At 36.8% G+C, this 16,885-nt stretch overlaps 1 protein-coding gene across 5 annotated transcripts in view; it reads right to left on the reverse strand.

Moving 5' to 3' along the window:
• FAF1 (Fas associated factor 1) overlaps window positions 1-16,885 on the reverse strand; it is a 523,240-nt gene that overhangs the window by 43,057 nt on the left and 463,298 nt on the right. For all 5 annotated transcript variants that reach the window (NM_007051.3, XM_047442745.1, XM_047442743.1 and 2 more), the window contains 2 exons: window positions 11,637-11,717; window positions 10,504-10,581 (listed from right to left, as the gene is read on the reverse strand). In NM_007051.3, coding sequence (NP_008982.1) covers window positions 10,504-10,581; window positions 11,637-11,717 — 159 coding nt within the window. The remainder of the gene's footprint in view (window positions 1-10,503; window positions 10,582-11,636; window positions 11,718-16,885) is intronic.

Genomic DNA, 16,885 nt, shown 5'->3' on the forward strand with positions numbered 1-16,885 from the left:
ATTTTTGGTTTGTAATAAAACAAGGAAACCTGGTATAAGTTAGAAATATGAACTGATCTGGTACTTTTTTTTCTACTAAAAATATGTGAGTATTTAAAGCATATCTGAGGGATGAGAAATGGGGCTATTTTTTGAAGTGAAATTAGGCAGTGAAAATAGATACCCACAAAAGACTGTCACTACAAGGTTACATTTTTTAAACAGAAAGAATAATACACACTTACAACAGTCTCTTACAATAAGAATCAAAGACTGCCTTAATTTACTTATATACACAGATGTATACATAAATATATACACACAAAACAACCTCTAGGTTTCTATGAGTATGTATAAATAACGGTTTATAGCTGGCTGAGGCACAGTGTTAAATAGGCTAAAGCTAACATTCATTAATTCCATGAATTCTTACTGAGCATCTTCTATGAGTCAGGCATTGTTCTAAATGATGGCAAAATAGCAGTGAACAAAATAGATAAAAAATTCTGCCTAAATGGAGCCTACATTCTAGTAGGGTAGGGATAAAGACAACAAAGACACACATAAGAAAAGATAGTATGTGCCACATAGGGACTTTTCAGTCAACGATGGACTGTATAAACCATGGAGGTCTCGTAAGATTATAACGGAGCTGAAAAATTCCTATTGCCTAGTATTTAGTGCACTATACTTTTATTTGTTATTTTAAGGTATACTCCTTCTACGTATTTTTTAGAAAAGTTAACCATAAAACAGCCCCAGGCACGTCCTTCAGAAGGTATTCCAGAAGAAAGCATTGTTATAATAAGAGATGACAGCTCCGTGTGTGTTACTGCCCCAAAGACTTTCCAGTGGACAAGATGTGAATATGGAAGACAATGATATTGATGATCTAGACCTTGTGTAGGCCTAGCCTAATGTGCATGTATCTTAGTTTTTAATAAAAAGTTTAAAAAGAAGGAAAAATTTTTAATAGATAAAAACTTATAGAATAAGGATATAAAGAAAGAAAAATTTTGGACAGCTGTACAATGTGTGTTTTAAGCTATTACAAAATAATCAGAAAGTTAAAAAAATTAAGTTTACATAAAGTAAAAAAGTTATAGTAAGCTAAGGTTTATTCATTGCTGAAAAAAGAAAAAAAGTAAACCTAGTGTGGCCTAAGTGTACAGTGATTATAAAGTCCGCTGTAATGTAATGTCCTAGGCCTTCATATTCACTCACCACTTGCTCACTGAGTCACCCAGAGCAACTTCAGTCTTGCAAGCTTCATTCATGGTAAGTACCCTACACAGGTGCAACATTTTTTATCCTTTGTACTGTACCTTTTTATCATTTTTATTGTACCTTTTCTACATTTAGATATACAAACACTTACCATTGTATTACAGTTGCCTGCAGTATTCAATACAGTAACATGCTGTACAGATTTGTAGCCTAGGAGCAACAGGTTATACCATATAATAGCCTAGGTGTGTAGCAGGCTATACTATCTATGTTTGTGTAAGTAAAGTCTAGGATGTTTGCACATCAACGGAATTGCCAATGACACATTTTCCCATCCTTAGGTGATACAAGACTATATCATTTTTCACAAAGTGGTGAGTGCTATGGAGGGAGTGCAGGGAATGCTGGTAGAAGGTGGGGGGAGGGGTAAAATTTTAAATACTGTAAACCTCAGTAAGCAAAGGTCTAAAGGAAAGAGGGTTCCACATGGATATTTAGATCTAAAAGAAGTATATTATAGGCAGGAGTCACAGTAAGTAGCAAGGCCCAGGTGCCTGGCTTGACTGAAGAATAGCAAGGCAGCCAATGTGGCGGGAATGGAATGAGCAAGGGGAGAGGGGTAGGAGTTAAAGTTACAGTGGAAACAAAGGAGAGGGGTGATTAGATCATATATGGCTTTGGGAAGGACAATTAATAATTATTTTCCTATTTTAAAATTAAGGTATAATTTATATACAGCAAACTCTATCCTTTTAAATGTACAGTTCTGTGAGTTTTGACAAATGCATATATTTGCATAAGTACCATCACCAACAAAGAAGAGTTCTATTACCTCTCTCCCCGTTCAAATTTCTTCATCCCTAGCTCCTAACCTCTAATCTTTATTCTGATCCTAGTTTTGTGTTTTCCAGAATGTTATATAAATGTAACCATAAATGTTACATAAATGACTTCCTTCACTTAGCATAATATATTTGAGATTCATCCATGTTGTTGAATATATCAGTAGTTTGTTTCTATTTATTGCTGAGTAGTATTCCATTGTATAGATACACATACAGCTTGATGACCCCTTCTCCAGTTGAGGGACACCTGAGCTGTTTCCAGGTTTAGATGACTACAAATAAAGCTGCCAAAAACATTTTCATACATATTTTTGTATGAATGTAAACTGCTTTATGTGAAAGCAGTTTACTGTTACTTTCATTTCACTTGTGTAAATACATACCTAGGAGTGTGACTGCCGGGTCATATGGTATATGCATGTTTAACTTTACAAGAAAGTTTCAAGCTAATTTCCAAAGTGGATGTGGATGTACTATTTAGCATTCCCGTCATTAATGTGTAAGAGTTCAGTTGCTCCTCATCTTTGCCAGTACTTGGTATTGTCCCTTTTTCTTTTAAAAAGTCTTCTAAAAGGTGTACATATATTGTGGTTTTAATTTGTATCTCCCTAACGGCTAAAAATTTTGAGCATATTTTGATGCACTTATTTGCCTTCTGTATATTTTCTTTGATGAAGTGTCTTTTAAATATTTTGCTCATTTTAATACTTGGGTTGCTTTCTTATTATTGAGTTTTGAGAGTTCTTTTTGTATTCTGGACATCAGATATATGATTTTCCCCTTGTCTGTGGCTTGTTTTTTCAATTTCCTAGCAGTATTTTATAAATAGTACAAGTTTCTAATCTTGATAAAGTCTAATTTACATATTTGTTATTTTATAGGTTGTGTCTTTGGTGTCAGATCTAAGAAATCTTTGCCTGACTCAAGGTCATGAAGATTTTCTCCTACGTTTTCTTCTGGGACTTGAATAGTTTTAGATTTTACATTTAGGTCTATTACCCATTTTGAGTTAATTTTTGCTTGTGATGCAATATATGAATTGAAGCATTTTAAAACTGGTTTTCTATGGGATTTTTTTTGGATATAAATATTCAATTGTTGCAGCATCATGTGTTGAAAAGACTATCCTTTCCCCATTGAATTGCCTTTGTATCTCTGTTGAAAATCAATTGACCATATATGTGTGGGTCTATTTCTGGACTCCATTGATTCATGGGTCCATTTTTTTTTGTAAATACCACTATGTCTTGATTATAGTAAGTCCTGCACTCTAGTAACGTCCAACTTTGTTTTCTTTTTCAAAATTGTTTAGACTATTCCAGTTCTATTGCTTTTTCATATAAATTTAAGAATCAGTTTATCAATCTCTATAGAAAATCTTGTAGATATTTGATTAGAATTACTGTAAGAATTCAGGTTTTATTTTGAGATGTAAGCCACTGCAAGTTTTTGAAGTGACATGATGTGACAAATGATTTTTAAAGGATTTATTAAGACTATAGGAAAGGCAAAAATGGAGATGTGGAATCAAGTTGGGAGGCTACTAAAGTAATCCAGATAACAGACAATGGTGGCTTAGATGAGGGTGATAGTGGTGGAGTTAAACATTTAAGTTCTGCATATATTTGCAGAGCCCACAGGATTTACTCATTAAATATGGATGTAAACGAGATAAGTCAAGGATAATTCCAAGGTTTCTGGCTCTAACAACTGGAAAGATTTTCCATTTACTGAGATAGGGAAGACTGCAGAAAGAGCAGGTTTGGGTGGGGAGGGTAGGATCAGTTGTGCAATTTAAAACATATTAAGTTTCTGATGTATATGAGACATCTAAGTAGACATGATGGGCCAGCAGTTAGATATTCAAGTCTGGAGTTCAGGGAAAGGGAGGAGCTGGAAATATAAATCTGGGAGTCAAACGTATAGACAATATAATATAGCCATATAATATAGTCAATATAATAGTCATAATACTGGATGAGATCACCAAAGGAGTAGAATGGATCCCATATAGAGACAGTTGATTTGACCCGATTCTGCAGTCAATCTCTATTCCTGGCAACCTGGAGAGTATGGATAGCTTACTACTCTACTACTATGACCTCATTTCTGGATAAAGTAAGTAAGGCAAATGATCATATTTCCTAAATCAAAATTCAAATAGATGATTTTTGCTTGCTTCTGGATATAAAGAACAGTCTGTAGGCTGTGATTTGGACACCATGAAGCTAGAATTTCTGGACTGTTTTAATGGTTCATGAGAACAACGGAACACTTCAAACTGAAAGTACTGAAGAAATAGTGGATATACATATATATATAGTCTCCATAATTATAATAAGGTATATTTATGTATTGGCACCTACCTTATTGAATTGTAAAAATTCAATAAGATAATTAATGCCTATAAAGTGATCACCACTGAGTTTAGCACATATTAATTGTGCGATAGTGGTGATAATGCCAATGATGATGATGACAGGGATGATTATAATTATGGCCCAGTGTGGACAAAAGCAACTTACATAAGATAAAAATACAAATTATAAAGAGCAGTTTTACCTTAATAACCAATTTATGGTCCCACCTTCATTCTTTGAATTTGGATTAATAAGTAGAATGAATACTGGATAGAAGCTCTGGTTCTGCTTTTATCAGGCTTATACGTTAGGTAAAAATTTAAAAGTAGGCTTAAAAATATCTTTTTAAAACTATTGTTTTTTTTAACCAAACACCACATGTTCTCACTGATAGGTGGGAATTGAACAATGAGAACACTTGGACACAGGAAGGGGAACATCACACACCGGGGCCTGTCGTGGGGTGGGGGGAGGGAGGAGGGATAGCATTAGGAGATATACCTAATGTAAATGACGAGTTAATGGGTGCAGCACACCAACATGGCACATGTATACATGTGTAACAAACCTGCATGTTGTGCACATGTACCCTAGAACTTAAAGTATAATAAAAAAAAGAAATTATTATTATTATTATTTTTTTTAAATAGAGATAGGGTCTTGCCATGTTGCTCTGGCTGGCCTTGAACTCCTAGGCTCAACTGATCCTCCCACCTCGGCCTCCCAAGTAGCTGGGATTACAGGTATGTGCCACTGTGTTTGGCCAAAAATAGGTTTTTAAATCCTGCTATAATCTTACTTTCATCCTCTGTAAAACAGTAATAATAATATCATCCTTACCAATTGTATTAGTCTGTTTGCACACTGCTACAAAGAACTACCTGAGGCTGGGCGCGGTGGCTCACACCTGTAATCCCAGCACTGTGGGAGGCCAAGGCAGGCAGATCAGGAGGTCAGGAGATCAAGACCATCCTGGCTAACACGGTGAAACCCCGTCTCTACTAAAAATATAAAAAATTAGCCAGGCGTGGTGGCAGGTGCCTGTAGTCCCAGCTACTCAGGAGGCTGAGGCAGGGGAATCACTTGAACCCAGGAGGCAGAGGTTGCAGTGAGCCGAGATTGTGCTACTGCACCACTGCACCCCAGCCTGGGCAACAGAGCGAGACTGTCTCAAAAAAAAAAAAAAAAAAAAAAAAAAAAACCAAAAAAACAAAAAAACAACCTGAGACTGGGTAATTTATTAAGAAAAGAGGTTTAATTGACTCACAGGCTTAACAGGAAGGATGACTGGGAGGCCTCAAGAAATTTACAATCATGGTGGAAGGCGAAGGGGAAGCAAAGCCCTTCTTCACATGGTGGCAGGGGAGAGAGAGAGAGAACAACGGAGGAAGTGCCACATTTTTAATCCATCAGATCTTGTGAGAACTCCATCATGAGAACAGCAAGGGGAAATGGCGCTCCCATGATCCAATCACTTTCCAGCAGGCCCTTCCTTCAACATGTGGGGATTACAATTTGATATTAGATTTGGGTGGGGACACAGAGTCAAACCATATTACCAATTTTGTAGAGTGGTTGTGAGGTGAAACAGAAAACTGAAGAGGAAGTGCCAAGGTTTCTAATTCCATGTTCTTCTGTTTTCCCACTTAGTAGTCATTAATATTACTTAATATTTTCTACTTAAGGTGGCACGAAGGCATAAAAGGAAACAGTTTGGGTAGACAGGCAAAAATTAACTTTTCTTTCTAGAGAACCATCAGCAAAAGGGAATAGCTTAGTATCTATTTTAATTCACCCAAGATTCGCCAAAATTCAGGCCTTTTAGCCATAGCTCTAATAATTCGACTGTGTTCTAAGTTTGTTCATTTACTGTTCCCTGAGCAAGCCCTGTGCCGTTCCCCTTTTGTTCATGACTACTCTTGCACTTCCCTTTGGTGTCCATCCAACCATCCATCCATCTATTCATTAGTCCAGACAAAATGCTCTTCTACTTCATCTTTAACCATCAAAGTCTGTGAAGTCTTTTTTTTTTTAAATTCACATCTCTACGGGCGCACCGTGAAGTCTTTCTTGTTGCCTTCCTAGTTAGATATCAGCTTCCTCCAAATAAACATCCTGTGCTATTTTAGTGGTTTTTATAATGTATGGTATCTTTTCCTGTAGTGATTTTGCATTTGTCTACCCTCTTGCATTAGACAGTAAGCTCCTTGAGGGCTGGACTATGCCTCGCACCTACAGCATAATGTCCACAGCACCTGATTTAATAATTTGCACACAGAAGGAGATTAACTAAATATTTGCTAAATATTGAGTGAATAAAAGATCTGAGACTCAAAAACCTTAGCTGAAAATTTCTCTGCTTACCAAAAACTCAGTAGAAAAAGGCAGTACTCAGGAAGGCTTTCTTGGAGTATATATATTTCACGCATTTCTCTAGTTACTATAAAGTCCATCCCTTAATCAGAAAAAATGTAGTATTTGGGCCTTTGCAGGGATGATTTTACTATATTGTACTTTAGCCTTATGATTTAGAATTACATTTAAAAAGTTTTAAGGAGCTGTCATACATAACTTGCCATTGTCACACATAACTTGCCATTGTCACAGTAGCTATTAGATATAGTTGGGGTTAGTATTCACTACATTGCACAGCTTCCTCTTGAACAGGAATATAGGAAACGTTGCTCTAAAATCTCATTGCTAGAAAATGTGGAAAAATTCTGAGAAACTAGCCTTCAGATCTGATGTTACGCACAAAGTAAAACTTGTAAACTATCATATTTTCCTTTGTTTTGGCCCAAGATAAGTATAGAACAGATTTTATGGAACAAATGTACAGCACCCTATCACATGGATTTGGTGCTTGTGCTAGATTATCTGTTGTCAACATGTTAGTCTTATCTTTGGCATTATCTTCCTTTGTCCTTTTCCTTTATTTCTATATCTACTCTTTCTTAATCCCTTTGAATTGCATGTATTCATGTAAGTTTCTTGAAACTGATTTTGGAAAGAATAAGTACATATATAAATTAATAAAACAGGAGATCTTTGCTGTTGTTTTTCCCTCAGAATAGTCTTACAGCCTTTCTCCTTATTAGGGCCAATGACCAGATCAATATACTTTTCTAGATGTTTGATTTCACTCCAACAGTTATCACACAGCAAAATGAGGCTAACCATTAAGGAATTTCCCTGCAACCAAGGTGATTTTACTGTTCAATACTTCTTTTTTCTAAAGGATCTTAGAATATTGAAGATAATCAAAACAATAAAACCACTCTTGTTTCTCAATGTAATTATATGGGTTAGGATTTCCAGTTAGAAGACAGGTAGTGTTGCTGTGAAAAGTCAGGTGACCCGGCTTCTGATCCAGATTAGGTGTTCAACCAGTTTGGTGACCATAGGTAAACCATATAATCTTTCTGGGTCTCAGTTTCTTCAGAGGTTGCACAATACCAGCTTTTCCCAAACAGTGGTTTGTGATACACTAGGGTGCCATGATATGTTAATTGTTGTTCCATTTAAAAAAGGGGCAAATAAGTTTGGATAAGATTGGACTAAATGAAAATAAACCATTTCTTAATGGTGGGATTTATAAGAGCCTTTGTGACACTTGGTTAAGGGAGAATAGAGTGCATAGTATTATCCAAACTTGCATTTTATGGGAGCATATCAATAGAAAAGTTTAAGTAATGACTAGGTGCAAAATATGGCCTGTCCTCTCCCCCACTGTACCCCAACCTCTCACATGTTAACAGCTGGAATGCATATACTGAATTATGTTTATAGGGTCTTCTGTAAGATGATGGGCTTTTATCTACATTTGGAAAGAAAGAAAGTTTCAGCTCATGGTAAATTAGATAAATCATCAGATGAAATTACATACGCTGCCAAGCTTTAGATCCAGAACACTGAGTTAATTGTGTACCCTTGACATTTTAGCAAGCCAGTATGGTTGACGATACACTAATACACACACAAACACACACAGAGCTAGAGAGTGTGTGCATGTGTGAACGACAGCATAAAGGAGCAAGAATCCTAAACTATATTTCTTGAAATAGCCTAAAAGGATAGTGACTAATTTCTCCCTTATCTAAACTTTTGTGAAACTTGGCATATATGACTCCTGTGGACACAATGATATAGGGTTTTGTACTGGAATGGAGTATGAGAAACAGCTTTATAGTCATAAAGTCCTGGATGAGAATCTCAGCTGTTCTCATTTTTGTATGTGTAACTCCTCAATGAACTTCAGTTTTTTTCACTTATAAAGATAAATCTCTAACCTTGTAGCTTGTTTTAATGGTTAATTGATAAGCATACGTAAAGCAGCTAGCAAACTATTTAATACACAGAAGACATTCAACAAAATATTTTCTACCTTCCATTATTGACAGTCCTCAGAGTGCAGACTAGGGTTTGTCAGGCATAATATCTTGTATATATGTGATAGATACTCACAACAGTTTTGACATGAATAAACTTTGATTTCCAAACAGTTAAGTTTCACTTATCTTTTAAGACCTGACTCAAATATTACTTCATCTGTACATTGTCTGATTATCTCAGCTGTAAAAGATTTTTCCTTTGGCCTTGAACTCTCTAAGTATTTTGCTTTTATTTCTATGTCATTTAGCACATTTTTTCTTGATTTGCTGTTACTCCTAGACAGGCTGTATATTCCCTCTAAGATGTAATATCTTCTTATAGGCAGAAAACGTTTTATTATCCTTTGTTTCCCTGGCAGTGCTCAGCACAGGTCTTCTTCAAAAAACATTTGTTAAACAAGTGAAAGTGGTGTCATACTTTGACTGAGAGTAATAACTAACAGAGTTTTCCTCAACCCCAGTTAGGGCCCTTCAGGCCTTTCCATTGCTTGTTAGATGGCTTCCTCTTTTTATAAGTGAATCTTGCCATTAATCCTACATCTGGAAAAAAGTTCTGAATGTTCTTTTCTATGAAGCCAGCCTAGGAAGTCATTTGACCCCCATTCTGTTTGTGCCTACTGCACCTTAGGCATACCTCTATAATAACGTTTACATACAGTATTATAATTCTATTTTTATAAGAGTAGGAACTCCTGGAGAGCAGGATCCATGTCTGCATCACTGTTCCCTAACAGATTTGGAGCACATAGTACATATCCCAAAAATGTTTGCAAAATGAGTGAATGAAGAAAAATCCTCTATATTGCTATGGACATGACATGAACTCATGGAAAAAATCAATGAAGCTAAATGAATTTCCCATATTTGGGAGCTCAATGCAAGATGTTACAAAAGTAACTCACAGTATCTTTTGGTGGGTAAAGTGAAGACTGTGGAAGGGAGAAGAGATACAATCTTTCTATTCTTAGGGTGAAACAATATGCAGGAAGGATGAGAAATATTTGCCAACAAATATTTGTTGGCACAAAAGGCAAAGATTATAGAAAATCATGAATCTAGTACAAGATCAAGTTTTCTAAGAGTTCCATACAACAGATCAGGAATAATTAAGGAAACGTTAGGTCTTCCATACTAAAATGAGTCTAGGAAAAGTAGAGAGAAATAAGTTGTAAGAAATATTAACAGTTTTGCAGCTGGGTGCGGTGGCTCACGCCTGTAATGCCAGCACTTTGGAAGGCCAAGGCAGGTGGATCACTTCAGGTCAGGAGTTCGAGACCAGCATGGCCAACATGGTGAAACCCTGTCTCTACTAAAAATACAAAAATTAGCCAGGCATGGTGGTGTGCACCTGTCAACCCAGCTACTTGGGAGGCTGAGGCAGGAGAATCACTTGAACCTGGGAGGTGGAGGCTACAACGAGCCGAGATGGTGCTACAGTGAGCCCAGATGGTGCCACTGCACTCCAGCCTGGGTGACAGAGCGAAGACTCTATCTCAAAAAGGAAGGAAGGAAGGAAGGAAGGAAGGAAGGAAGGAAGGAAGGAAGGAAGGAAGGAAGGAAGGAAGGAAGGAAGGAAAAAGAAAGAAGGAAGGAAGGAAGGAAGGAAAGGAAGGAAGGAAGGAAGGAAGGAAGGTAGGTTAACAGCTTCAGTATCAAATACAACCCAGCTTTTGAATAACTTTTCTTAAAATTATGCCCCACCTCACGTTCCTCTTCTTGTTCTTTGCGAATCTGCTCCAAACGAAACTGTTCTGCCATCTCTCTCTCGTGAGCTTCCCTCTGTTGATAAAACAGAAAAGGAACAAGCACTTAACACATACTTGTTTACAAAGAAAGAGAGAAATAAGGAAAGAGAAAAAAGAAAAGAGGAAAGAAAGAGTATGTGACATTCAAAGGCTCATTGTCAACATGACTCAGAGGTATATTGTGGTAACGGAAATGTTTCTAGAACAAGAATGGAAATGAAAGCAAAAACAAAGCATAGGTCTCTGATAATGTTAGGTTCCTATTCAAATACCTTTGATAGCTCTGGGTAAAGTGGCATTCAAGATCCTTCAGGACATCCTTTGGTCTTCCTTTCTGACCTTTTCTATCTACCCTGTACCCAAATCTAAAGCTATTTAATCAGCCTCTATCCATCCTCCATGCATTCTGGACCCTTGATGCTAGCTTATACTGTTTCCTCTTCCCTCCTACTGCTCTTTCTCTGTCCAGTTCACATATACCATCTCTTCTTTGAAACATTCCCAGTATAGTCCCACTCCCTGGCTCTCCAAAAAAAACCTGGAAAAAAATTTCCACTGAAACTCCTACTCACTGAACTCTCACAGAACTCAGTGCTTCCCTTAGGACATTTAGGATTCTTGGCTTATGTTACAGCTACTTGTGTTCTTTACTTAATCAACTCTACCACATTGTGAAACTTCCTTTGAGAGCAGAAACTGTGGCCTATTCACTTCTCTCTCCTTCAAAGCTCAACACAGAAGCAGGTGCTTAAGTAGTATTCAATAAATCAATAGTTCCCAACCCTGACTGCACATGAGAATCACCTAAAGAGCTTTCCAAAAATTGCTGGTTTCTATCATAGACCAACTAAGAAACAAATGAGATAGATACTAGGTTCATCTTTGTTCTCATTTTTCATGAAACAAACTTTATTTTGTCAAAATGAACCATGCTTTAATAACCATGGATAGGATTATATTCTTTCTGTTAACTAAATCTAGCTTTCTCTATTGCAAACCCAGTATTTTTAGGGATCAAAGTGATAAAGGTTGGCATTTAAATAATGAACAATTGAGTTCTTTATCCCAGAAGTACTTGACCAAGCCTACCTTTGCTCTGTCAGCCTCAAGTGAAAGGCGATAGGCCTCATCTTGCTCTCTCTTCACATTTTCTCTGGCTTCACGTTCATCCTTAAAGAAAAAGATTCAAATATTTTTTGACATATAACTTTTTTTTGAAAAAAAAGAGAAAAAAAACTAATGGTAATCCCTTTTTTATTCCTATATGAACTTATAATTAAATAAGAGACTTTTAAAGTGTATAGGACATAAATAAGCAAACAAACAATAAGATGAGCAGCATGGTACATAGTGGAAATAAGAATGTTTGAATCCTAACTCTACAAACTGTGTGACCTTGTATAAGTTATTTAACTTCTCCAGGTCTCAGTTTCCTCACTTGCAAAACAGAAATAATATTTGTCTTATAGGGTCACTGTGAGAATTAAGTGCAATAATATACAAACTATCTAGCAAAGGACCTGGCACTTAGTTCATTTTCATTATTAGTTCTCTTCTCCTTTTCTCCTGATTTTTCTGAGATAAACTTGGAGACTGTCAGTATTGGAACTAAGGACTGGGAGGGAGAACAAAGACTAGGAAGTAATCCCTGGGTCAGTGTAGAAAGAGGCCAAAAGCAAAATACTCTGGTTAACCTCATTCCATACCACACCACACCACACCACTAAAGCTCTGGTTACCAATTTAGTATTTCCCCATTACATTCACACTCATGAAGTGTGAATAACAAAAGTTATCTAAGTTGAAAATCTCTTAGAATATTTTTAGCTTCTGAAATGATTATACCATCTGCCCATATTTAAATCACGAATTCATTTAAAATTAAAAGTTAATTCATGAACAGAATTTCCCATTTGTTATATTCAGAAGTATAGCCAATATACATATACTTAGCTTTAATAATAAATACCCACACCTGTCTACACTAGAGTGTAGGTTCCCTTTTTGGTCATTTATTTATTAGGCAGAACCATATAAAGCCACCAATATTTGTGACCTATAAAACTGGAAATTTCATATAGTTAATTTCTCACTTTTTTGTCTCCCCAATATATGCTTACTCAAGGCTGAATATATGCTCAGCATTCTCTTAGGTGAGATAGCTAATCAAGACTGGCCTTATTCCTGAAGCCTAATACATCTTCTAGTTCCAATAATTCAACTAATTCCTAAAAGCTCTGGTATGAATAGGAACATTTCATTGCTTCCTAATCTTTCAAATAAAAATTAGAAAGAATTAGATGTTGCTGGCCTGAAGGTAATTGTTATACTACAAAATATGAAAAATCATGTTAAACCTGATAATGTCTACCCTTTCAGTCATCGATTAAAGGATTAAACTTCTTTTTTTTTTTTTTTTGAGGGGGAGTCTTGCTCTGTCACCCAGGCTGGAGGGCAGTGGTACGATCTCCACTCACTGCACCTTCAGCCTCCTGGGTTCAAGTGATTCTCCTGCCTCAGCCTCCCGAGTAGCTGGGATTACACGCACCCGACATCACGCCCAGCTAATTTTTGTATTTTTAGTAGAGATGGGGTTTCACCATATTAGCCAGGCTGGTCTCGAACTCCTGACCTCAAGTGATCTGCCTGCCTTGGCCTTCCAAAGTGCTAGGATTACAGGCATGAGCCACCACACCTAGCCAAGGATTAAACTCCTAAGAATCCTATGCCTCTGTGGATAAGTCTATCTTTTCAAATTTAGATATCTCTTGAATGTAATCAACCAACTATGAGAGTAATCTTACCTTTCTATATTTTAAATGGGGGAAATGCACAAGATGTTTAAAATTTTAATTTGACCTTACTTTCCTGACTTCATCCTTTCAAATTAAAGTTTCTCACAACATTCTGTACTTTCCCTTTAAAGCACTTACCATAATTGTAATTAATTATCACATAATTATTTATTTAATGCTAAACTACCCCATGACACTGTAAGCTCCACAAAGGCAGGGAACTTGTCTATATTATATATCTCTGTATTCCACATACTGCCTAGTTTTGGGAGGTGTTTAATAAGCATATGTTAAATAAATTATCTTTCCAGGCATAAAATACTTATTGTTTACAGCAACAATTAAAGAAAAAGACATAGCTCATCCACAAAATGGCTGGCCCAATCTGAGCCTGAAATTGACTGGCTGGGCAGGAATGACTTGTTATGCCACTATGTACACGTAAAAAACGGACCTTCTAAAAGCAATCACAGCTGGAAGCCCTATGATCACAAATACAGTTTATAATAAAAGAGGGTAAACAGCTCTGTTGTAAAACAGACTGTAGGAGATATGAAAGGCCATCAAATACAGGGATCTTGGCACCTGTTGTGTGTTCTTTCCCTTACTCACAGCTCTCTCTGACCATCCTGACAGATGGGCTGGCTTGGGCATGTGGCTCAGGATGAATTTTCCCAAATTTATCATGGTCATAGCTTCTTGTATGTTTGGTAGTTGTTGGTGAATGGTTATCATTTCTTCTTATCTGTTCCTCAGATTTTATACTTGCCTCTCCAACTGTCCTCTTCAGAGTCATCTCCAATTTTGAGAGAGAAAACTGCTTATGTGTTTCCCCCATATTATTCTATATTATCAGATTTTTTAGAAAATCCCAGGTATTGTGGTTAACACTTCATGTATAAATTTGTTCTCATAACCTGTAGATGTGCCTCTGGAACTTCTCTTGTATTCTACAAATACTGTCCTTGTAGAGGTTCCCTTTGCTAAATCTAAGAGGACACATCAAAGTAACTAGAAATTTTTACACATCGATTGGGTGGAGGTAGAACAACTGGATTATGAGATTCAGAAACAGGTCTTACGTGTTGCCTAGGCTATGGCTTGGGCTACTTGTCATTCAAACACTCCTTGCCACACCAAAGTGAGAAGCTGGATTGCTCAGAAGTAAGTAATAGCCCCAGTAGGCAGCTTTCTTTGTAACATACTTGTCACTGCTCTCATATTGCGCTGTGCTACACTCATTTGTGTATTTGTCTCACTGGTCCCTACCTGAGCTGTACACTCCCAGGGGTAAAAGACTCTATTTCATATGTCTTCGTATTTCCTATAGCATCTAGCATACTATCTTACATATGACAAGCATCTGAAGTATATATTTATTGGATGAATAAATGGAATTATCAGTGCTCAACAGTTATATACTAGAAATTCAGAAGCCTCTAAGTATTCTTCAGTCTAGTAACTTTTATTTAAATATATTTTCTGTCCTGAGTATTATGATGAGTTGTTAAGAAGTGTTAGAATTATAATTTACTTATTTTTAGTTAAAAAAATTTTTTTTGAGTACATAGTAGGTCTACATATTTATGGGATATGGGAGATATTTTGATAGAGGCATGCAATGGGTATTAATTACTTCATGGAAAGTGGGGTGTCCGTCCCCTCAAGCACTTATCCTTTGTGTTACAAACAATCCAGTTAAAATCTTTGTGTTATTTTTAAATGTACAATGATTTTTACTATAGTCATCCTGTTGTGCTATCAAAGGCCAGTGTTATTCACTCTTTCCATATTTTTTGTACCTATTAACCACTCCACCTTCCCCCACACCCCACTGCCCTCCCTAGCCTCTGGTAATCATCCTTCTACTCTCTATCTCCATGTGTTTAATTGTTTTGATTTTTACATTCTACAAATTAAGTGAGAACATGTGACGTTTGTAGTTCTGTGCCTCACTTATTTCACTTAACATAATGGCCTCCAATTCCATCCATGTTGTTGCAAATCACAGGATCTAATTCTTTTTTGTAGCTGAGTAGTACTCTTGTGTACATGTACCATGTTTTCTTTATCCATTTGCCTATTGATGGACATTTAGGTTGCTTCCAAATCTTGGCTACTGTGAACAATGCTGCAACAAATATGTTAGTACAGATATCTCTTTGATATACTGATTTCCCTCCTTTTGGGTATATACCCAGCAGTGGGATTGCTGGATCATATGGTAGCTCTATTTTTAGTTTTTAAAGGAACCTCTACACTGTTCTCCATGGTGATTGTACTAATTTACATTCCCAATAACAGTGTACAAGGGTTCCCTTTTCTCCACATCCTCTCCAGCATTTGTTATTCCCTGTCTTTGGGATAAAAGCCATTTTAACTGAGGTGAGATGATATCTTACTGTAGTTCTGATCTGTATCAGAATCAGAATTTAAACACAGTCATTCTCACCATAAAGCCTGGTTTTTCCCCACTGTGGCACACTACGTAGTTCAGCATAGTCCTCTATCTCCGAGACAATAGCCATTGAATTTTATTACAATTCACTGAAAATGATGACTATTAAAAATAAAATATTTTATGAGTTGCCAAATGGTTCCCACAGTAAGAATTTAACCAAAAAAAAAGAAATTTAGATGTAATTTATGACACCCTCAGTAGTGTTAAAGATTAGTAATCATCAGTTAACTCCTAAAAGACTAATTCAAAATTCCAAATTATTAAACTGAAGTGGCTATAGACTTTTTTCAAATACTTACCAAATGCATACACACATAGAACACTTATTGGTTTTTCTGAATGCCCAGGTTGGAATGAATACCCTGCTCCTTGCTCTACCAATAGGTCCTTGTCATCAGAGACATGGCCCTGCTATCTATCTCTAGAGATACAGACCAAGATAACCTGAAGTTCTCTCAATATAAATACTTAGAGATAGTAGGTAAAACATAACAAGTATGTTCAAAAGCATTACTAAGCATGTCAGAAAGAAAGAAATAAAGAAAGAGAAGTTTCTAGGTACCAGAAATAAAGAGGAAACTGAAAGTGAGAGATGTAAATGATGAAGTAATTCAGAACCTGACAAGGTAGGTTATCCATCTTGATAATCCAGAAGCCCCACTGTGACCAGAGATCTCATTTTGGACTTAAGCAAGGTGAGGAGGTGTAAAAGTTATCTCTGGGGACCAAGCACAGTGGCTCATGCCTGTAATCCTAGCACCTGGGAGGCCAAGGCAGGTGGATCACCTGAAGTCAGGAGTTTGAGACCAGCCTGACCTACATGGTGAAACATGTCTACTAAATACAAAAAAATCAGCCGGGCATGGTGGCACATGCCCGTAATCCCAGCTCCTTGGGAGGCTGAGGCAGGATAATTGCTTGAACCTGGGAGGAAGAGGTTGCAGTGAGCTGAGATTGCACCATTGTACTCCAGTCTGGGCAACAAGAGTCAAACTCCATCTCAAAAAAAAAAAAAAAGTTATCTCTGGGATAACTTTTGCAGCCTAATGTAAGTGAAGTTGGAGTCTGGGAATGAGGTGTGG

The sequence above is a fragment of the Homo sapiens genome, chromosome 1 (assembly GCF_000001405.40).
Source record: "Homo sapiens chromosome 1, GRCh38.p14 Primary Assembly".
Lineage (NCBI taxonomy): Eukaryota > Metazoa > Chordata > Mammalia > Primates > Hominidae > Homo > Homo sapiens.